The sequence below is a fragment of the Homo sapiens genome, chromosome 15 (genome assembly GCF_000001405.40).
Source record: "Homo sapiens chromosome 15, GRCh38.p14 Primary Assembly".
Classification (NCBI taxonomy): Eukaryota; Metazoa; Chordata; class Mammalia; order Primates; family Hominidae; genus Homo; species Homo sapiens.
This window is the reverse complement of record NC_000015.10, coordinates 28,696,825-28,718,247: the sequence shown is the minus strand read 5'-3', so window position 1 is coordinate 28,718,247 and position 21,423 is coordinate 28,696,825. Positions and strand designations below refer to the sequence as shown.

Here is a 21,423-nt window from a genome sequence, read left to right as displayed (position 1 = left end):
CCCTTCCTCCCCTCTTTAGTCCTTACTATTTTTGCTTTGGTCATGTTATGCTATATTCTGTAAGCCTTTAAAAATTTTGTTGTATCATGGCAGGGGAGAATATTTTATAATTATGCTTTGTGCGTTTTATCTTCCACTTAATGAATGCTTGGTAAATATTTGTTTTATTGAGTATATGACCCTTTTCTAGCTATACTGTGAACAAAAATGTTAACTGTCTTGTAAGTTAACTGCTAAGAATTTGTCAAAAGTGCAGAGATGACATCCAGAACTTGTCAGAATATTACAAAAAGGTCTCTAGGGGCATGACGGAGGTCTGTAAATTGACTTCATGTGAAAGAGTGTAAGAAGCGAAAATGTGAAGCATGACTGGAGAGCCGGAGTGATAAAGCAAGGGTCCCTTTCTCCAGATCCTTTGTAACAGTGTCATGTGACCTCTTCTAGATCATTCTGAAAGACAATGCCAGCTCGGAACCTAGGAAAGCATCCAGTGGGTTTCTGCATGTTAGGTGGTTCAAATCCTCATTAGCACCTTTGTTTTCTCTGCCTCAGTTTGCTTACAGTGATGTTCTCAGTAGCTGTAATTGCTCTCTGTCTTTGAATATTTAAGCATTTTTTTTTAGATCACAGGGTGTATATGTCCATTTTTATTTTACCAAGTGTTAGAATTTTTACTCTGCCTTTGTGGGCTCTGGGTTAGCTGCTTGGTTGTTTCATCGTAAAATGATTAGCAGGAAAAACTGTGTGTGTGTGTGTGTGTGTGTGTGTGTGTATTTTAAGTTTCTTAATTGGGTTGGTACATGTAAACCATTTAGAACAGTGCCTGCTGCATATCACATCCCCATCGGTATTCACGTCTCTCATATTCTACCCTCACACTTGATTGATAGTTTGCTTGATTATGTATTTCTAGGTTGAGGATAATTTTACCTTAGAATTTCAAAGTCTGTGCTGTTGTCTTCTAACCAGTCGTGGTGGTGAAGCCTCATGCCATCATGAGTTTCACTTGTTTATGCATTACTTTCTCTCTGGAAGCTTTTAGGAGTTTGTCTTTTCCTTGGTGAGCTGAAATAGCACAACAGTGTACTTAGTGTGGGTCTTTTTTCATTCATTATGCTGGGTACACCAAATGAACAGGCCAATGGATAGGCTCTTTCAAAGTTGGAGTCTTGAATCTTGTCATATTTTGTTGTTAACTTTCTCTTTTCCATTTTATTTGTTCATTTTGAAGTGTCTGTTAATTGGATTTTAGACCTCTTGTCCTGAGTGTTGTATCTCACGTTATTTCTAAATTTTTTAAAATTTTAAGTTCTGGAATATTTTCTTATCTTTTGACTTTCAGGAAATTTTATTTGGACTGTCATAACTTTAAGTTTTGTTTTGGTTATTTATTGTTGCTTAACCAATTATCCCAAAACTTAATGGCGTAAAACTACACATATGTCTATCTGTCACTACTGTATTGATTAACTGGGGCTAGCTGGACAGTTTTTCTGCTGGTCTCATTTGGCAGCTCTCACTGTGTGGTTAAACAGTGTCAGGGACTGGTCATCTGGATGCTCAGCTGCAGTGGAATGTCTGAGACGGCTTCTTCACCCACAGGTCTGCTGCCTTGGTAATTCTTGGTGTGGCCTTTCTCTCTGCATAGCATCTCATCCTCTTGGATCTCTTCATGTGGCTTTTCTTTCTCCAAGAAGGTAGCCAATTCTTATTTTTGGCTTCCAGAAGCACAGAAATGGAGCTGCCAGGAGTTCTTAAGGCTTAGACCTGGAACAGGTCCAGTGTCATTTCTACCACATGCTATAGGTTAAAGTGAGTGTTGGGGCCAACCCAGATTGACTATGGGATGGGCCTGTCTAAGGACATGATGACAGGAGGTATGGCTCATTGGAGACCAACTCCCAGGATGAAGCATGAGTTCTAAGAACTTTTTGTTCTCTGATTATTTCTTATTCATATTGTTTTGTTTTATACATGTAATATATTCACAAGTGTCTTTATGAAGTGATTTTGATACTCTTTGTCTTCTCCCTGGCATCTCCTTGTTCTTTAATAATTTTTTTCTTAGTTTATTTTGGTCTTATTTTTCTTTTTAAAGCCTTTCCTTAAATATCTATTCTATGTTGCTTATCATTTGTTGTCTTTCTTTTTTTTTTGAGACCCAGTTTCGCTCTTGTTGCCTAGGCTGGAGTACAATGATGTGATCTCAGCTCACCACAACCTCTGCCTCCAAGGTTCAAGCAGTTCTCCTGCCTCAGCCTCCCAAGTACCTGGGATTACAGGCATGTGCTACCACACCCACCTAATTTGTGTATTTTTAGTAGAGATGGGATTTCTCCATGTTGGTCAGTCTGGTCTGGAACTCCCAACCTCAGGTGATCCACCCACCTCAGCCTCCCAAAGTGCAGGATTACAGACATGAGCCACCGTGCCTGACCTGTAGTCTTTTTTCCATTCCTTTATTTGCTCATTCATATTTGAGAGAGGTACTAAAAGACTGGGAGCCGGGGTGTGGTGGCTCACACCTATAATCTCAGTGCTTTGGGAGACCGAAGTGGGAGGATCACTTGAGCCCAGGAGCTCAAGACTAGTTTGGGCAACATAGTGAGACCCCATCTTTACAAAAAAAAGAAAAATAGCTAGGTGTGGTGACACCCATCTGCAGTCCCAGCTACTTGGGAGGCTGAGGCAGGAGGATTGCTTGAGCCCAGGAGGTTGAGGCTGCAGTGAGCTCTGATCATGCCACTGCATTCCTGCATTCCAGCCTGGGCGAAGGAGCAAGACCCTGTCTCAAAAAAAATAAATAAATAAAAATAAAAATAAATAAAAATTGATTGGGAGTTCTTTGTGGCCAAGACTTGTCAACTGATAGCTTTAAGGGGAATGTATGCTGATTCCTAATTGTTATCCTCCATCCCTCTATCTTATCTCCTGTTGCAATCTTAAATGATGGCTGGATGACTACTCCATTCCTCTGGATGTAAAATCTACATTCTCTTGCCTGAGGTAGATACGTTTGCTTGGGTTCTGTTCAAGGAGATGGGGCCAGCAGTGTGTTTCAGGGCCTGTGAAATGTGTTCTCTATCCGGGCTTTTGCTTAATCTCTGTTTTCAGTCTTGCCTATCAGTCCCACTGTCGGGGGTACCTCGTGTCTGGGTCTAGAACCTTTCCAGGTTGCTGTGGGACAGATTAGCCTCCTTGTTCTCAGTATCCCCCTGACCTCCACCTTTGTTGCTTTGCTCCATGAATTAACCATTTTCCATGTACTGTCATTGTCTAATGAAGATGAATTCTCTTCTGTTGGTAACCCCATTCCTTTTTTGTAATTGTGTGCTTATACAATGTTTATTCTTCACTGTATTTCTATTGGAGCCTCAGGACAAAGAGCAGATGGTGAGAATCTTTGTTCAGTGTTAAGTTTTCCTTCTGTAAGACATGTGCAACTTGTGTTTTTCACTGAATAGATCATCAACTTAATGCATATAGAGCTACTTTGTTTTTCATGATTGTGCCTTCAATTATATGTAGAAATATAATTTGTGAATTGCCTGATGAAATTTTCCTAATTTTGAATTATCTTTGCATTCCTATAGTAAACACTGTTAGAATGGCTATGGTAATATTTTATTTTTGTATTTTTACTTCTGTATTAAATAAGATTATAGTTTTGTTTGTTTCCTTTAAGGCTGTTATTTCATTTCAGTATCAAGGGTATGCAGGGCTGAGTTGGGAAGCTTTACATCTTTTTTCTAAGATCTAGGATGTAGATCTGGTTTACACAGTAATTTTCACCTGCAGGAGTATTTTGCCTCCTATGGGACGTTTGGAAATATCTGGAGACATTTTTGTGGTCACCACTGGTCATGGTCGGGAGGTCTTATTGGCATTCTGTGGGTAGACGGAATGTTACTAAATGCCCGACAACACACCAGGAGAACCCTCCACAAAGAATTATCTGGCCCAATATATCAATATTGCTGAGGCTGACAAATTCTGGTTTAAATAAATACCCAATTTGGGGGATGAGTCTTTGTCTTTTTCCTTCTTCTGCATATTGGTCTCCAGATTTCCCACTTCTTCAGTTAGTTTTCGTAACTGTAGGTTCTTAAAAAAAAATGAACACTTTGGCCGGGTGCGATGGCTCATGCCTGTAATCCCAGCACTTTGGGAGGCCGAGGCGGGTGGATCACGAGGTCAGGAGATCGAGACCATCCTGGCTAACATGGTGAAACCCCGTCTCTACTAAGCCAAAATACAAAAAATTAGCCAGGCGTGGTGGCGGGCGCCTGTAGTCACAGCTACTCGGGAGGTTGAGGCAGGAGAATGTTGTGAACCCGGGAGGTGGAGCTTGCAAGTGAGCCAAGATCACGCCACTGCACTCCAGCGTGGGTGACAGAGCAAGACTCCGTCTCAAAAAAAAAAAAAAAAAAAAAGAACATGTCATCCATACTTCTAAGGTGTTGTAAAGATGTGTAAAGTTTTCACTTTTTGCATCATATTCACATGTGGCTATATGCCCTTTTCTCTTCAAAGTTTTCTTTATCTTGATTACTTATCAGAGGCTTGACTGTTTTATTATCTCAGTCTTTTGAAAGAATCCTCCTTCAGTTTTGTTTTTTAAATCTAGTGGTTTTTCTTTTTCCTTTTTCCTGACGTCTTAATTATTTCTCCCTTTTTGTTTGCTTTGCTTTTCCTAGTTTAGTGGATCAATGTAATTTAAATTGCTTTTTAAACAAACATGTAAGGGTATACATTTTCGTTGGGTGCTGTTTGACTTTGTTGCACAAGTTTTAAAATCTATTTTTTAATAGCTTGTATTTTCTAAATTATTTTATTGCATCTTTTGTTCACATTGCTCTTACTATTAATTTTTTATTTTTATTAATAAATAAATAAATTAATTAATTAATTGAGATGGAGTCTTGCTCTGTAGCCCAGGCTGGAGTACAGCGGCATGATCTTGGCTCACTGCAAGCTCCACCTCGGGGGTTCATGTCATTCTCCTGCCTCAGCCTCCCAAGTAGCTGAGACTACAGCTGCCTGCCACCACATCCGGCCTTTTTTGTATTTTTAGTAGAGATGGGGTTTCACCGTGTTAGCCAGGATGGTCTCGATCTCCTGACCTCATGATCCACCCACCTTGGGCTCTCAAAGTCCTGGAATTACAGGCATGAGCCACTGCACCCGGCCCAAAAGCTTTGTGTTTTTACAGATATTAGACATGTTTCTTGTTTAAGAAAAAAAATCTTAACGAAAACATAGGAGAATAAGAGAAACATTTTTCCAAAAAAGAGAAATCATTGTGATTATTTTATCTTATTAGAATGTTGGATAATATAGTCTGCTTCATTAATCATCAAGCATGCTATGCATTTTCCATTTTTATAGGATCTGTATCTCAGTTAAGATAATACTGGTAATTTTTGTACTGTAATCAAAGATGAAAAATGTAGGCCAAAATCATAGACCTTGCATAGAAGCTGGATAATGAAGACAGCTATGGAGAAAAACATAGATACGCACACACGGACACACATATATATAAAGTATACACACATATATTTTTTAAAGTTTTAAAGCTGTTAAAGCAAAAGCTGGCCCCTCTTCTCTTCCAGAGTGGGAGGCCTCTCCCCTCTCTTAGAGTGGGTGCGGAGAGCGGTCGCATGGGCAGCTTTCCTTGTGAGCCACAGGGCCCTCTGGACACGCTGCTGTCTGGCCACGCCCCCTTTCCCTTTCATCTTTCTCATTGACCAATGGGCTTGGAGCATTAAGGCCACACCCCTATTCCGCATTCTACTGGGGCCCTGGTTACGCCTCCTCTGGCTCAGTCACACAGCTGCCTGGAAGGTGACTGGAGGCCTTGATCGGTTCTCATTGCGATTTTGCTGCTGTGGCCCCAACCCTGCCTCCCTCCCCACCCTGCGATGGCAGAAGAAACTCAACACAACAAATTGGCTGCAGCCAAGAAAAAGGTAAAAACGCACTAGGTCATAGCCCCTCAACCCAGCCACAGATCCCCTCTGATGACAAGACCCCTGCCAGAGTCTATACGACTCCTGAGGCACACTGGACTGGTCCCCCCAACCCCGGTGCCTTGGGCTACCCCCATCAAAGTTTTGTCAGTCAGCCCCACCCCTTCAGAAAGCAGCCCAGTCCTTGCCCTCGCCAATCACCCCAGGGTGACTTTGGGTGGGTGACTCCTGGGGCTTCCCGCTCCGTTACTGGGCCCTCATCTCCTGCCGCCCCAAGCTTGATCTCCCTGGGCTCTTTGGGCTCTCATCTCTGAGGAGCCAGGCCCCACCCTCGCCAATCATCCCTGGGTGACTTTGGGCTGGTGACTCCTGGGGCTCCCTGCTGCAGACTCTGCCCTCCCCTCCTGCTGCCTCAAGGTCGACCTCCCTGGGTTCTTTGTGCTGGCGTCTCCAAGGAGCTGGGTCCCAACCCTGTGCTTCCCTCCCCCATCGTGGAGCAGCGACTTAGACATGGTGCTGACATGGTCCCTCCCCCCGACCAGGAGGAGTGGAATGTTGTGATGTCACAGCCCACCTAGTAACTGCCGTTACTGCAAGACTGGCCTTTGATCTTATGACCCAGTCCCCTAAGCGTTCTCACCTCGTTTCTGGTTCCTCTGGTCACAGGACAAATTTCCAGCTGGAAGGGGAATGGAGACTATGGGACCTAGGAGCAAGAGGTTCCAGGCTGCCTCACTCCCTTACAGATGTTGACGGTGGGAAAAGCCTACACTTCCCCCATGAACTCAAAACATTGACGGTATCTCTGGGTGGCAATGAGAGAATGGGTTTGGTTTGGTTTTCTCCCAGGCTTCTACTTTCCAGAGAGATTTTAACATTTTTTTCTGAGTTCTCCACCTCATATTCTAATTCTCCATGGTTCTGGGACCAGACTCTCCTTCAGTCAGTGGTCTCTGAAGTGACATTTGCTCATCTTCTGTGGAATAGATCTTGGGAAACTGAACTTGACACCTTGAATCTTCCTCATATTATCTCAACTTTGGGTACTTTGAGTGCCACAGGATAAATGTGGGACATCTTTCTGAAGCATCAGTTTCCCTTGATTCTCTTGAGATCAAGAGAAAAAACATGAATATACTTAGGGATGACAGTCACATAGGTTTCTAAGAGTATACCAGCCCTCTCTCTGAAATGAGGCTTGGGTTGTCCTCTTTCTGATGAATTCTGATTTAAGAGAAAGGCTGCCTTCTGCCGTGAGGACACATTGATATAAAAGTTTGAGAGGTACTGGTGCACTTCTTCACACTAACAGACGTGTGAGGATGTATGACTCTAAACCACATGGCATACAGTTCCTGCCTACTTAATGTTTACTTTTCTACCTCTGCCTCTGGTTTTGGTCCCTGGCAGCTGCTGATTCTTGGCAAAACCTCAGAGCTTGGAGTCAGAAGACTGAGTTTCAAAGTTCCAGTATTGCCTTTTTCTTTTTTTTTTTCTAGCCATGATATCAATCCTTCTCAGTCACTAAATGAGTGTGACAACACCTTGTACAGTTGTTGGTGTCATTAAATCAGATGGTGTGTAAGTGTATTTTGTAAAAACTGTAAAGGAGGATGTGGCTGTAGGGGCTGACGGTTCTCATGAGTATTACTGCTCTTCTTTCCAACAGTTAAAAGAATATTGGCAGAAAAACAGCCCTAGAGTTCCAGCAGGAGCGAACAGGAACAGGAAAACAAATGGCAGTATCCCTCAGACAGCCACTTCTGGTGGTTGCCAGCCACCTGGGGATGTGAGTCTTGGCTGACCAGGCTTCTGGGGACAGGGGGCCCAAGGGGCAATAGAGGGTAATTGTTAAGATTGTGGATGGACTGCTGGGTACGGGTTAAGAATTCTGGCTTTAGCCGGGTGTGGTGGCCCACGCCTGTAATCCTAGCACTTTGGGAGGCCAAGGCAGGCGGATCATGACGTCAGGAGATAGAGACCATCCTGGTTAACACGGTGAAACCCTGTCTCTACTAAAAATACAAAAACATTAGCCAAGCGTGGTGGCGTGTGCCTGTAGTCCCAGCTACTCAGAAGGCTGAGGCAAGAGAATGGTGTGAACCTGGGAGGTGGAGCTTGCAGTAGCCAAGATTATGCCACCGCACTCCAGCCTGGTGACAGAGCAAGACTCTGTCTCAAAGAAAAAAAAAGGAATTCTGGGTTTGAATCCTGCCTCTCCATCTGCTCTGCTAGGGATATGATTTAGGGCAAGTTGCTAGACCTCATCGGGCCTCTCTTTTCACATCTGTATAATAGAGGTGATATTGTTTCACTTCCATTTGTGAAATTTTCATGAGATTTGTTATTGTTGTTTTTATGTTAATCCCTAGTACATGGCCTGCTGTAAACACTCAGGACACCCAGGATATGGTCTTTGCTGTTTGATTTTCCTCATCCCCAGTCTCAAGGGGAAGCCAGGACAATGAGAACAGCCACTTGCCATCAGGAGTCACTGAAGGGGCCCCAGGATGGGATGGTGGGGAGATAAGAACCATGAGAGAAGTTGGCACAAAGGAGTTATGGGACAAAGGGTCCAAGATAGGCAGAAAAGAAAATGTTGCCAGTTGATGGGGAAGAAAGGAAGTCAGAGGGCTCAGACACTGTGGGGGACAGAACATCTCCATGTGCACTCTCATCTCTTGTAGTCAGCAACAGGTTTTCACAGGGAAGGCCCTACATCATCTGCTACCCTGAAAGATCTGGAGGTAAGAGGCTCTGGGCAGAGGTGCAGTGACCCTTCGGGTCAGCCCTCCAACCTCCTCCTCCAGGAGGGACTGGGTGCCCCTCTGCCAGCTGAGACAGCCCACACACCCCAGCCCTAATGATTGTTCTCTCTACCTCTCCCCCGACTCCTGCTCCACCTCCTCCTCTCTGCATGCACCTCAGAGCCCGTGCCAAGAACGAGCAGTAGTCCTGGATTCAAGGTCCGTAGAAATCAGTCAACTGAAGAACACCATCAAATCTTTGGTAAGAGTCCGGTGGGGTCCCCTGATTCCACGCTGCCAATCCTGGGCTCCAGTTTCCCCTTGGGGCCCTGAAGAAAGGGGCTGGGGGTCCCTGGTGCCCGGGACAAATAGGGAGCTTGGGTGCCCAGGCCTCACCTGGAGGGACCCCAGAGCATGCAGCATGGCTCTTCTTTTGCTGCCCTCTTTGCCGACTCTCTCCTCTCCAGACACCCCTGCTCGAGTCCTTGCTACACACGCCCTGGGGTTGTTGCCTCTTGGGGAAGTGCTAGCCTGACTGGTTGTCAAGGTCCCCGTATTTCTGCCATGACTCAGTCCCTAATTTGCTCTTTGATTCTGGACAAGCCACCTCTCCTTTTTGGGCTCGTGTTTCCAGAGGAGGTAGTGAGTATCAAAGGTCTCTGTTAGCTCTCGAGTCTGAGATTTAAAGGCCCCCGAGAATGGAAACCTCAGGGCTAAGGGCTCCTGTCTGTCCTTTTCCATCCTATATCTGCTGTAAAGAACCGTACCTGGTCCATACATGCTCAGTAAATGTTTATTGAATGAACCCACTTTTCTAAATCACAAGCTGCCAGAAGGAGGGGCCTTTCTGAAACTCCATCTCTAGAGGTTTATGTTGCTGTCCTCTCAAGAGATTCCAGATTCAGACTTTGAGTTCTGTGGCTGTGGGCAAAAGCCCACAAAGACCCAAATCCTCTGTCCTTGGGAGCTTGAGGAGAGTTTACCAGTTCGTGTTCCCATTATGTCTGAGAACTTTGCCTTTAAAATCCATTCCTGGCCCCTGCCTACCGCTTCCTGGTCTGGGGAATAGAGTTGAGGGGGCCACCCTCCATCACCTTATTTGACTCTCCCCACAGAAACAACAGAAGAAACAAGTGGAACATCAGCTGGAAGAAGTAACGTGATTTCGTTTCCTTGCAACATGACTGCTGGAAGAAGGCTCACCCTTCAGATTCCACCCCATCCCCACAGGGCCCCGATAACCTGGTCCCATGGGTGGGCCTGTCCTGGGGCATTGGTGGCATTCTGGGGGCATGTCTCTTGCTGTGCCATCTCTGCCTCCCCCTGGTAAGAGCTCTGTCTTCCTCTTCCTACAGGAAAAGAAAGCAAACAACAAGAAACAGAAAGCCAAAAGGGTGCTAGAGGTGAGTGGAGGGTGTGCAGTTTCCTCCTGTCCTCCGGAGAATGTTTCTTTCCTTCTCTTTCAGCACTTGCTTGGCTTTTCTCCCAAAGGTTCAACTCCAGACATTGAACATACAGAAAGAGGAACTAAATACGGACCTGTACCACATGAAACGTTCTCTCAGATACTTTGAAGGTGGGAATCTGGGCACCCTGTCATCCTTCAACCTGGCACTTTGACAGGTCTTCAGGGGGAGTCCTTTGGGCCCCATCTCAACTCTCTCACTACAGAAAAGTCCAAGGATCTGGCTGTCCGCCTGCAACATTCATTGCAGCGTAAAGGAGAGTTAGAGAGTGTTCTCTCTGATGTCATGGCCACACAGAAGAAGAAGGCAAACCAGGTGAGTCCAACCACCTGCCCCATCCCCTGGGAGTCTGGCTTTGCAGATGGAGGAGTGAGCCTAAAGGTCCCTTCTGCAGGATGGCGTGTCCTGCCCAGAAGGCAGCATGGCCATTTCTTGCTACTTTTTTGTATGGTTTTTAGTGGCAGCCTGGGGCTGAGTCAGCTGCTGTGGGTGAGTTGGGGGTCACTGTGTGGAGTGAGCACTGGACGCAGAGCTTGGAGGCCAAGTGCCTGCCCCGCCCTTACCTGGCTGTGGTCTTGGGCAAGTCCTAGGTGGGGTATTGGGTACTTGTACTGTGAAGGTACAGAAGAGTACCTTTAGTATGTTACCATTTCTGTAGAAAGAGGAAACGTGTGCATGTGTGTGTGTGTGTGTGTGTGTGTGTACATACTATGATAATATACATAAAACATGTCTGCAAGGGTTCATAAAAAATTCAGGAGAGAGCAACAAGATGGCCGGGAGATACTTCCCTTCTGTACCTTCTGAGTTTTGGACTATGCAAATGTATCATCCTTTCAAAAAGTGAACAAAAGATTAATTTTCCCCTTCCTATCTGTGCCCCCATCCCCAGCAAGAAAAACGGGCTTAGAGAATTGGATAGACCTGGGTGTTTATATCCCAGCTCTGCCTAAGTGAACTTAGGCAAGCACTTAACCTCAAATACTCCATGTTTTTTATCTCCACAATAGAGGGAATCATAGTAACTGTCTCCTATGGTGGTTGCGAGGATTAAATGGGATTGTTAGCATGGTATCTGGTGAAGCATTCCACAAAGGTTCAAACAGTGGTAATAATAACAGTAATAACAATAGCAATATTATCTGATCTCTCTGGGCCTCTGTTAGCCAGCTATAAACTCAATCTCATTCCCTGTCCGTTCCAACTTTACTGTGTTCTTTTAAAAACCAGACCACGGGCTTGGAAATGCCTTGATCTTTACTGACCGAGTTGTATATTGGGCCTAGCCCGAGCCCTGTTAAGGGGCACTGTGTGGAAATGCCCAGGCTCTCCAGATTGAAACTTCTCACTCTTTGCCATCCAGTTGTCCAGCCCCAGTAAAGCAGGTACGGAGTGGAAGTTAGAGCAGTCCATGCGGGAGGAGGCACTACTGAAAGTGCAGCTGACACAGGTGAGGTTTTCTGAGGGAGTTATGTGGAAGGAAGATGACCCCAGGTGGCCAGGAGCAGGTGAGGACCAGTGACAGCCCTTCCTAAGTTCTGTGCCCATTCTTGCAGTTGAAGGAGTCATTTCAACAAGTCCAATTAGAAAGAGATGAGTATTCTGAACATCTAAAAGGAGAGAGGGCCCGGTGGCAGCAGAGGATGAGAAAAATGTCGCAGGAGGTGAGATCTGACCCTTCAGCCCCCCCACATTAGATAGGTCACTGGATCTTTCTGGTCATCTGTAAAATGGGAATAGTAGAGCCAGAGGTGGTCATGGGTCTGGGCTTTGTGGAGGTGGGGGCAGAGAGGGAGAGGGCAGCCTGTCCAGCCTCCAGCCCCTCTCTCCAGGGCCCTTTCCCCTTGTGCTTTGGGCAGATTTGCACATTAAAGAAAGAGAAGCAGCAAGATATGCGTCGGGTAGAGAAGCTGGAGAGGAGCTTGTCCAAACTCAAAAACCAGATGGGTAAGATGGGGCTGGCATGACCTGGGAGCAGGACTGGCATCAGAGGGCTGTGAGGGTGGCTTAGAGTGCCCCAGGGAGGTGGGTGGATGGAAGGGCTTTGAGGCAGAGGGAAAGAGATCTGTGCCAGGAGACGGCGAGTCTTGTCATCTCAATGAGTCTCAGTGTCTCAGTGTCCCCATCAGCAAAGAGGGCCCGTTGTCAGCCACCCGCAGTGCTCTTTCTCTGAAAGTGCTTTGGAAGACTGGCTACCATCTGGGTGCGAGGAATCATTAGCAGTGAGGCCAAGTTTGAGGAGCCTGAGAGGAGCTGTGCGCCAAGAGGAGGGTTTTTCTTTTCCGAGAATCCAGAGGCCCTTATTGTCTGCTTCCTTTCTCAGCTGAACCCTTGCCCCCGGAGCCCCCAGCAGTGCCCTCTGAGGTGGAGCTGCAGCACCTGAGGAAGGAACTAGAGAGAGTGGCAGGAGAGCTCCAGGCCCAGGTCAAAAACAATCAGCGCATAAGTCTCCTGAACCAGCGACAAGAAGAGAGGATTCGGGAGCAGGAAGAGAGGCTTCGGAAGCAGGAGGAGAGGATTCAGGAGCAGCACAAGAGCCTTCAGCAGCTGGCCAAGCCACAGAGCGTCTTCGAGGAGCCGGTGCGTTGCCCAAACTGGGGAGCTTGCCCTCCTCCCTAGCCCTCCGGGCCTTTGTTTCCCCACCTCTAAAATGGGGCAGTGTAGCCCTCACATGAAATGTTACTTCTAAAGGCACCTGTGAGCCAGGTGGCTGTGGGAGAGAGGGGGTGATTTTTCTAACCTGCCTCCAGCCTTCCCAGTGCCATGGGAGGCAGACACCAAGTTCTGGGGTCTCCAGCTGCAGTGGGTGGCTGCTGATTGCTTCTCTCTGTCCAGAACAATGAGAACAAGAGCACACTGCAGTTGGAGCAGCAAGTAAAGGAGCTACAGGAGAAGCTTGGCGAGGTGAAGGAGTCGGAAACCTCCACCCCATCCAAGAAGGGCTGGGAGGCGGGCAGCAGCCTCTGGGGAGGGGAGGTACCAGGCCAGAGGCAGCTTCCAGCCTGGGGGCTGGTGACCACAGCACCCCCCAGGGCAGTCCTGTTTCTTGCTTCCTGCCTCTGACTTTTAAAGGTGGGTAGCCCTGGGCTCCTCTCAGGTCTGGACATCATCATCCTAGCTAGAGGCATGGAGCCCCCAATCACAGGGGAAGAGACAGTGCTATAACAGGCTCCTTATGCCAGGTGCAGTGGCTCATGCCTATAATCCCAGCACTTTGGGAGGCTGAGGCAGGAGAATCACTTGAGGTCGGGAGTTTGAGATCAGCCTGGCCAATGTGGTAAAACCTCATCTCTACTAAAATTACAAAAAAAAAAAAAATTAGCAGGACATTGTGGTGCATGCCTGTAATTCCACCTACTCGGGAGGCTGAGGCATGAGAATTGCTTCAACCCAGGAGGTGGAGGTTGCAGTGAGCTGAGATTGCACCACTGCACTCCAGCCTGGGCCACAGAGTGACACTCTTGTCTGAAAACAAAACAAAAAGACTCCTTAGATTAAAACTGGATTCCAGCCTCGGTTCCACTGGTCACCGTTCAAGTACTTTGCATCTCTAAGTCTCTGTTTCTTTAACTTCAAAGGGAAGTTAGCATTTTCCTTACAGAGGTGCTGCGGATTAAATGAGAAGAGGGTATGAGATTTGAGGCTGGGGAAGGAGGCATGGGGTTCTAGGAAAGGGAGGCAGTCACTTAGGCCTGGAGTAAGGGGACAGGGGCCTGGGCAGCTGACAGAGCCCCACAGTGCCCTCGCTACCCTATTAATGGGCCCAGAATCTGGAAACCAGCCACCACGTGCCCTCACACCCAGGGTCTTCCTGCAGGTGGAGCTGAAGAGCCAAGAGGCTCAGAGTCTGCAGCAGCAGCCAGACCATTACCTGGGTCACCTGCAGCAGTCCGTGGCCACCTATCAGCAGCAGGTGGCCGCCTATCAGCAGTTGACCTGTGAGAAGGAGGCGCTGTACAGGCAGTGACTGCAGCAGACCCAGCTAATGAACCAGCTGCAGTAGCAGGAAGCTTGAGGCAAAGCGGTGGCCGATATGGCCTGCCAAAAGTTGCAGGAGACCCAGGGGAGGGAGCTGCGGAGGATGGGGCTGTGAGGGGGACGACCTGGCAAACTCCATCCCTTCTCACTCTTTCCTGGCCCCTTAGGAGCACCTGGAAGCTGCCAGCCAGCAGAACCAGCAGCTAACGGCCCAGCTGAGCCTCATGGCTCTCCCTGGGGAAGGTACGGGAGACCGCTCAGAGGAAGAGGAGAGAGCCCCAGGAGGAAGGGGGGACTGCTAGCAGCATAGGATTGAGGAGTTGGAAGAGACCTTTAGAACAGCTGGTCATTATGCCGACTGGGTGCCTGCACTAAGTTCGGCATCAGTGTGGTGACCTCCTGTGAGCGGGGGGTCACCAAGTTGCCTAAGGATGGCTGAACTGGCCAAGGTCAGAAAGGGAGCAGGTCAGAACTCCCACATCGACCAGTAGTGGGAGTGTGCCTGGGCGGAATAGCAAGATCTTGATTCTTAAAAGTAAAAATAAAGAACAACAGCTCATTCCTCTCTGGGGAGGGGCTGGCTCAGGGTTACACAGTGAGGGTGGAGGTAGAGGTGGGCCCACAGTACCTCCCTTGTTGGGTTGTCTGAAGACCCCTCTGGCCACCCCCCACAGGACACGGAGGAGAACATCTGGACAGTGAGGGGGAGGAGGCACCTCAGCCCATGCCGAGTGTCCCAGAGGACCCGGAGAGCAGGGAGGCCATGGTGAGCCTGACTCCCCCTGCACCCATTTTGCCACCTTTCTCTGTGGTCCCTCCAAGACCCCTTTATGCTCTTCGTTTCCCTGCCTTCTGATTTCTCTGGACCCTCACCCCTTCTGAGAGCCAGTGGTCAGACACCATTTCACCTGTGGCCAACATGTGCAGTCTCTGGGGGCCCAAGGGAAGGGGCTGCGCTCCACCTCTCTGCCCCATTTGTTCTGTGTATGCCCCTAGAAGAATGCTCACATCTTGCCCTCAGGTGGCATTTCTCAAGTCCGCTGGAGCTAGTGCCCAGGAGAAGCAGGCACAGTTACAAGAGCAGGTGAAAGAGCAGAGGGTGGCTGCCAGCGCCTGGCTCACCCGGTGGCCTCGGCCCAGAAGGAGCCAGAGGCAGCCAGAGGCCCTGCAGCCCCAGGGCCTGGGGGCGAGTCTGTGAGTGGGGAGACCCACTGGGCCCTGCAGGAAGTCACGGAGAAGCTGGCCCATGCCAGGACTCACCTCCACCTTCTCCATGACTTGAAAATGCCACCTGAGGGCAGGTCGCTGCCGAGATGTGACTGCAATATTTTGGCTCCAGAGCAGCTTTATGGACCACCTGGAGGAGAAGGCAGACCTGAGTGAGCTTGTGAAGAAACAAGAACTTCGCTTCATTCAATACTGGCAAGAGAGATGCCATCAGTGAGTGGGAGGCCAGGGCACGGCAGGGGGAGCTGCAGGACCGTCGGAGGGGCCCCAGCGTCTGAGCCCCGTCCTCCCGCAGGAAAATCCATCACCTTTTATCAGAACCAGGGGGCCGTGCCAAAGATGCGGCACTGGGAGGAGGACACCATCAGGCTGGAGCTCAGGGAGGAGATGAAGGTAGGGTGTGCAACATCTCTGTGGGGGTGGGGGTGGGGGTGGGTGTGAGGGTGGGCGCAGGCAGCGGCATGGCAGCTGAGCACCCCTCCCTCCAGGTGAAGCTGCTGGAGCTGCAGCAGATGGTATTGCGGCTTACAGCAACTACAACAATGGGCACAGAAAATTCCTGGCCGCTGCCCACAACTCTGCTGATGAGCCCGGTCCAGGAGCCCCAGCTCCCCAGGAGCTTGGGGCTGCAGACAAGCATGGTGGTGAGTACAGCCCTCAGGTGGTGTGGGCAGGCAGGAAGAGGGGGCTCCCACTGTGCTCAGATCCCTGCCTCCCTCTCTCCAAAGATCTTTGTGAGGTGAGCCTCACCTCCTCTGCCCAAGGAGAGGCCAGGGAGGATCCTCTCCTTGACAAGCCTACTGCACAGCCGATCGTGCAGGACCACCAGGAGCACCCAGGCTTGGGCAGCAACTGCTGTGTGCCATTCTTTTGCTGGGCTTGGCTGCCAAGAAGAAGGAGATAAACATCACCATCCTCAAAGAGCTGCTCAAGAAATTTTTAAATAAGAAACCAAGTTATGGGGTTAATCTCCTACACAATTCATTTACTTCCTTTGAATGTTAGAGTCACTCATGATTATTTGTGTTTCTAATTTATAGTTTTAAGTTTATTTGTAAAAAGTTAAAAGAGAGTGGGTGTCTGTGGCTCTCACTGATGTTCACTCTGGCATCCTTTAGCATTTTTCTTTTTTAATTTCATAATTGTAGGTCATTAGCATGCATATCGAGTTTGCCCTTACGTGGTGGAAGTTCAAACACACAAAGACCCACTCTTTGCCCAAAACTGTTCTCGCTGGTTTGGAATAGGCTGCCATGCTTTTTTAATGTTATTGCAGCATGTATATTCACTACAGAATTCAGACAAAATTTGCCTATGTTCTGCTGTTGTTTGATCTAATCTTAATCACAGTGAGCTCTTCGTTAGCTCAATATGTAGTTTGCCCCCAAGTGTGCACTGTTTATTACTTTGTAATATGCCACTATGAGTACTGACATTTAGAGTTGTTTAAAGGCCAAGAACTGGAAACAGCCTTTCCTCCATTTTCTGTGTATTGGTGATGGGAGTGAAACCTTTTGGGGGAGCTTTTTAAATCTCACAGAAGAGGAAAGTGGCTTCCTCTGGCAGGTATGTGCAGGATAGAGTGTGTTTCATCTGTTCCGGTGCCAGGAATTAGCGGTGTATTATGGTGGTGCCCTTAGGATTTGTATGTGCTCTGGGCTCATGAAGATACTGCATCATGAGCTGCAGCAGTTGTACTCTTTTTCGATGACCTAAAAAGGGCTTATTTCTGAGGAATGAAAGGTTCCCATCGTTGACTGTGGATGTGGAAAACCTTTCCTAGCTTAGAGCATTTGTATCTACAATACATTTTAAAGTCAGAGTTCATGTTACCTGTTTTAATCGCATGACTACATGTCCCAGTACACAAAAGGACACTGGTTGGCATTCTTCTTAATGTATTTAGTGAAGATCATAAGAAATCCTTTATGAGTTCAAACGTCCCTGGAACAGGCATACAGGCTCTAGTCAAGAATGAATTAGAGTGAAGGAAAGCTGTGTGACACCTGGCATTCCTCTCTGTTCACGTATTCTTTGAGGCTTGAAGATTGATTTTACCATCTAGACCTCTTTGGCTAATACCTATTCTTCAACCACCTTGGTTACTCTGACATAGGAATTTACTTCTTTTTCCTTGAATGGAAAACACTTTAAAAAATAATAGAAACATTATTATAAACTAATATATGTGAGATACTTAGTTGAAACAAAAAGGAGTTTTAGTAGACGGTATTATACTATCTTTGAAAATCAAGGAGAAGTTTATGAAACTTAAAATGTGTACAAACTGCAGTGCAATCTACTGTTCGTGAATGTCAATGTATTATCAGGAAACGTGTCTATACAATCACAGAGTTATATTTTCTCACAGACTTCTTTACAAAGTGAAATATGTTTTTGTACCTCTGGGTTTCTGTTCGGGACATATTTTGTGCAATATTTATGTGATTGTGCCTATGCATGATGAATGAATGCATTTCAGTTATATATTGCCTAAATCGTAACTTGATGATGCTTGGGAAAGACTCAACAGTTAAAACTTCATGAAGTTCTAATGTCTGTGTTCCAAAACACATCACATTGTTAGGATGCAGGGAGATAGGTGTGTGTGCTCCCTGCGGTGGGGATTTCTAGTTACTAGATCATCTCCATTTTTAGCATTTGGCATCCTCATGATACTTCTATAAATATGACATTAACAGGAGAGCAACAGTACGATTTTACCGATGGAATAACAGATTTGCTGGCATTCACTGAAAGAGTGCAAATATTCGGTCCTTGTGACTTCCACTGACTCTTCCAAATTTTATGAATGTATCAATGTATTAGATAAACCCAGTTTCAGAATGATAAAGAAAAAATCTTAGACCAAATAATGCGGCTAATTAACAGTGGTACGATTTGTAGCCCGTGGGTTTAAAATGCACTTAAAGTCCTGTTCTCGCCTTTTATTTTCTGAACTTGCCGCTTTTGCATTCTTTGAGTTCAGTTTAAAGACAGTTACTTTAAGAGCATTTTAAACCCTCGGGCTAGAAATCGGACCACTGTTAATCAGCCACATTATTTGGTCTAACGTTTTTTCTTTTATCATTCTGAAACTGGGTTTATCTAATACATTGATAAATTATTGCAAAGGTACTTTTATCGTTGAAATCACTTCACTTTTACCCTGATAAATATCAGTGACTAGGAATGACCTTCGGATAGCGTTTAGCATCTGTAACCAATCTGACAATAATGTGTTCATGAGGTGCCTATGGATTAAATCACACACTGGCATATTTAAGCTGAAGGTCAGTCTGGAAAATAAATTTACTATATTGACTGAAATACCACTCTTTGTATAGGTATTTGTCATATATTTAAGAAAAAGCTAAAAAGAATGGAAATTGTATGACAATAACTCAAGTCTTTCTCCAAAGTGCATGCAGTCTTTTGCGATACCTCATTCAGCCGAGTATTTGTGCTCTTCCTCATTCTGTATAAGGCAGCTTTCAGTTTGCTTAGAAGGCAACATTGGAATGTTAGAGTTCATCAGAAACACAGAATTTTAAACTGTGAGTTCCACTGAATACATTTTAATTTCTGTAGGAAGAATCAAAATACCTATTTAAAGATGGCAATATATAATAATCATTTTAAAAGTATTTGATTCAACCTGATAATTTTCCAGAAATGAAAAAAAAAATCAGCTCTAAAACCAAAGCTGATTTTAGAAAATTTGAAAATGTAAATCAGCCCTATCCATAATATAGTTTCTCTAAAACTTTAAAGAGTTGTTTTAAAATAATATAACTATTAAAATATGTAACTGCTATCTTAATGTTCTGAAATAATTTAAAACATTTTAAAATATGAATACTGTAGTATAAAAGAAAGAAACAGTGGGAACGAAAAGCAGAGAAAGAAATGCCAATTCCAGTCCAAAGTTTTATTTGCCAAGTTTTCTTAGAATGAATTTTACCAGTTTATGAATTATTATAAACAGAATGTGTAATGGAAATACTGAAAGATTTTTCCCTAGAGTGGCCTTATTGACTGCTGGTGTGATGCCACTGTAATGTAATAAATTATTAAGTTGTTTGAATGTGTTGTTTTTGCCTTAAAATTTTATTTTGCGTTTCTTGAAAACTATAGTATTAAAGGTATTGATACTGTGCAAATGCTGGGCATGCTTGGCATGAGATAATGTGTTTCATTTTTACAAAGTTGTAATATAACTATGCAAGTGTTTATTAAAAACCAAAATAAAAAAGTTATGGGTTAATTAAAAAACTTTTATTAAAGTTTTATAAAAAGTTATTTTATTAAATAACTTTATTTAAAAAAGTTATGGGGTGAAAAAGTTATGGGATAAAAAATGTAAAAACGTTGTGGCAAAAAAACTTGTGGGAACAAAGTAGAAAACAGTATTATGAAAAGTTACAAAAAAAGTTATGAAAAAGAAGTTACGGGATTCTTTTTTAAAAAGTCATGGAATAAAAATAAAAATTAAAAGCAGGCCCCTGTCAGCAAAGCCTGGAGAAGTGGGGCCGGAGTCTCCACCGCCACCATGTCCCTACCACCCCTTCCCAGGCACCCCTTTACAATTAGGGTAGCAGGACAAGACCTCTGTCTAATGGGGAAAGACAAACAGACCCTTTGCCACCCTGACCAGGGCTGAGTCCCTAAATTTCTGGATGATGATGATTGTTATTTAAGAGCCAGAGGCTGGTGGAGTTGGTTTGTTTGGAGGAGGCCTGATGTCCCCCTTACTCTCACCATAGCAACTTTTCCCTCAGGGGGGCTCCCATCTTCTTATTCAGAGAGGTAGCTGAGGCCAGAAAGTGGGGCTAACTGTGGACCAGCGAGGGCATGGGCTGCTGGGGTGGCCCACCTTCCCCGGTGTACATACTGTGTCTGTGTAACATTTTGTATATTCCAGAGGGTAGGGCTGCCCCTGTATCATACCTAGCAGAGGTTGGAGCTGTCACATGGGGAGGAGGTTCTAATAATTATTTGTGGCTGGGAAACTTATTTATTGCTAGCGTAGGACAGAGGAAGGAGGCGGGGATGGGGTCGTGGCTCTCTGGTGGTATGATCACAGCTTACTGCAACCTCCAACTCTTAGGCTCAAGTGATCCTCCCACCTCAGCCTCCCAGGTAGCTGGGAGTATAAGCATGCACTACTATGCCTGGCTAATTTTTAAATTTTTTTGTAGAGAAAAGGTCTTACTATGTTGCCAATGCTAGTCTTGAACTCCTGGCCTCAAGCAATTCTCCCATCTTGGCCTCCGAAAGCACTGGGATTACAGGCACGAGACATTGCTCCTGTCCATTAGGTTTTCTCTTTATTACTGTTTTGTTGTTGTGGTTGTTGTTTTGTTTTGTTTTGTTTTGTTTTTTGACAGAGTCTTGGTCTGTTGCCCAGGCTGGAGTGCCGTGGTGTGATCTCGGCTCACGGCAACCTCTGCCTCCTGGTTCAAGCAATTCTCATGCCTCAGTCTCTCGAGTGTCTGGGGTTACAGGCATGAGCCACTGCGCCCCTGGCTAATTTTTGAATTTTTAGTTGAGACAGAGTTTTGCCGTGTTGGCCAGATTGGTCTTGAACTCCTGCCTCAAACAATCCGCCCTCCTCAGCCTCCCAAAGTGCTGGGATTACAGGGGTGAGCCACTGCTCCTGGCTAAGATCCCATCTCTATTTAAATAAAAAAAGAAAATTCAGAGCATGTGGAATACAGAACACCAAAGTCCAAAGTTATTTACCTCTCTGAGGTAATCTGTGTAAACAATTTGAAATATATCTTTTCAAGTTCATGCTTGCTATGCATATACATACATATACACACATACGTTGACATAGTCCCCCTTCCCTGCTGTCATGCTATTAGAGTCTTCTTTTTTTTGTAGAAATTGGACCAACTCTATGTTCTTTGCTGGCCCATATTTCTCCTATTCAGTGATGTGTTACAAATGTGTGTTTAAGTCAATGTATGCAACTCTTCAATATCATTTTAAAAGGTTAAATATACGATCATATGAAGGCATTAGAAT

General features: G+C 45.9%; 1 protein-coding gene, 1 long non-coding RNA gene and 1 pseudogene across 8 annotated transcripts, besides 3 other annotated features; 2 read left to right on the top strand and 1 right to left on the bottom strand.

The window, feature by feature from the left end:
* The first annotated feature begins 4,914 nt into the window (after nt 1-4,914).
* GOLGA8M (golgin A8 family member M) lies at nt 4,915-19,665 on the top strand. Of its 7 annotated transcripts, XM_011521951.4 has the most exons (20): nt 5,827-5,972; nt 6,639-6,771; nt 7,642-7,761; nt 8,660-8,719; nt 8,901-8,981; nt 9,835-9,873; nt 10,075-10,122; nt 10,211-10,295; nt 10,391-10,500; nt 11,549-11,635; nt 11,742-11,849; nt 12,045-12,132; nt 12,509-12,765; nt 13,021-13,089; nt 14,331-14,406; nt 14,838-14,929; nt 15,503-15,603; nt 15,686-15,783; nt 15,879-16,034; nt 16,119-19,665. In XM_011521951.4, the coding sequence occupies exons 8-20, from the start codon at nt 10,268-10,270 to the stop codon at nt 16,292-16,294; spliced, it is 1,446 nt and encodes a 481-aa protein (XP_011520253.1). In that variant the 5' UTR covers nt 5,827-5,972; nt 6,639-6,771; nt 7,642-7,761; nt 8,660-8,719; nt 8,901-8,981; nt 9,835-9,873; nt 10,075-10,122; nt 10,211-10,267; the 3' UTR covers nt 16,295-19,665. The 7 variants fall into 7 exon arrangements, with proteins under 7 accessions (XP_005268341.1, XP_005268342.1, XP_011520254.1 ...); XM_005268284.6 differs by having other exon boundaries at nt 4,915-6,771; NM_001282468.3 differs by lacking the exon at nt 6,639-6,771.
* Nucleotides 11,425-16,229, bottom strand: LOC107984746 (uncharacterized). Its single transcript, XR_001751465.2, has 3 exons — nt 16,141-16,229; nt 15,424-15,520; nt 11,425-13,012 (listed from the first exon to the last, which is right to left on the bottom strand). It is a non-coding gene; the product is annotated as an uncharacterized LOC107984746 (long non-coding RNA).
* Nucleotides 12,252-12,961: an enhancer, noted in NCBI's record as "H3K4me1 hESC enhancer chr15:28950433-28951142 (GRCh37/hg19 assembly coordinates)". NCBI's record gives its function as "activates a minimal SCP1, AML or CMV promoter by ChIP-STARR-seq in primed H9 embryonic stem cells {active_cell/tissue: H9 hESC(primed)}" and the evidence as "EXISTENCE:reporter gene assay evidence [ECO:0000049][PMID:30033119]".
* RN7SL719P (RNA, 7SL, cytoplasmic 719, pseudogene) lies at nt 14,458-14,694 on the top strand (annotated as a pseudogene).
* Nucleotides 14,879-15,379: an enhancer, noted in NCBI's record as "H3K4me1 hESC enhancer chr15:28948015-28948515 (GRCh37/hg19 assembly coordinates)". NCBI's record gives its function as "activates a minimal SCP1, AML or CMV promoter by ChIP-STARR-seq in primed H9 embryonic stem cells {active_cell/tissue: H9 hESC(primed)}" and the evidence as "EXISTENCE:reporter gene assay evidence [ECO:0000049][PMID:30033119]".
* Nucleotides 15,380-15,880: an enhancer, noted in NCBI's record as "H3K4me1 hESC enhancer chr15:28947514-28948014 (GRCh37/hg19 assembly coordinates)". NCBI's record gives its function as "activates a minimal SCP1, AML or CMV promoter by ChIP-STARR-seq in primed H9 embryonic stem cells {active_cell/tissue: H9 hESC(primed)}" and the evidence as "EXISTENCE:reporter gene assay evidence [ECO:0000049][PMID:30033119]".
* Nucleotides 19,666-21,423: the final 1,758 nt, after the last annotated feature.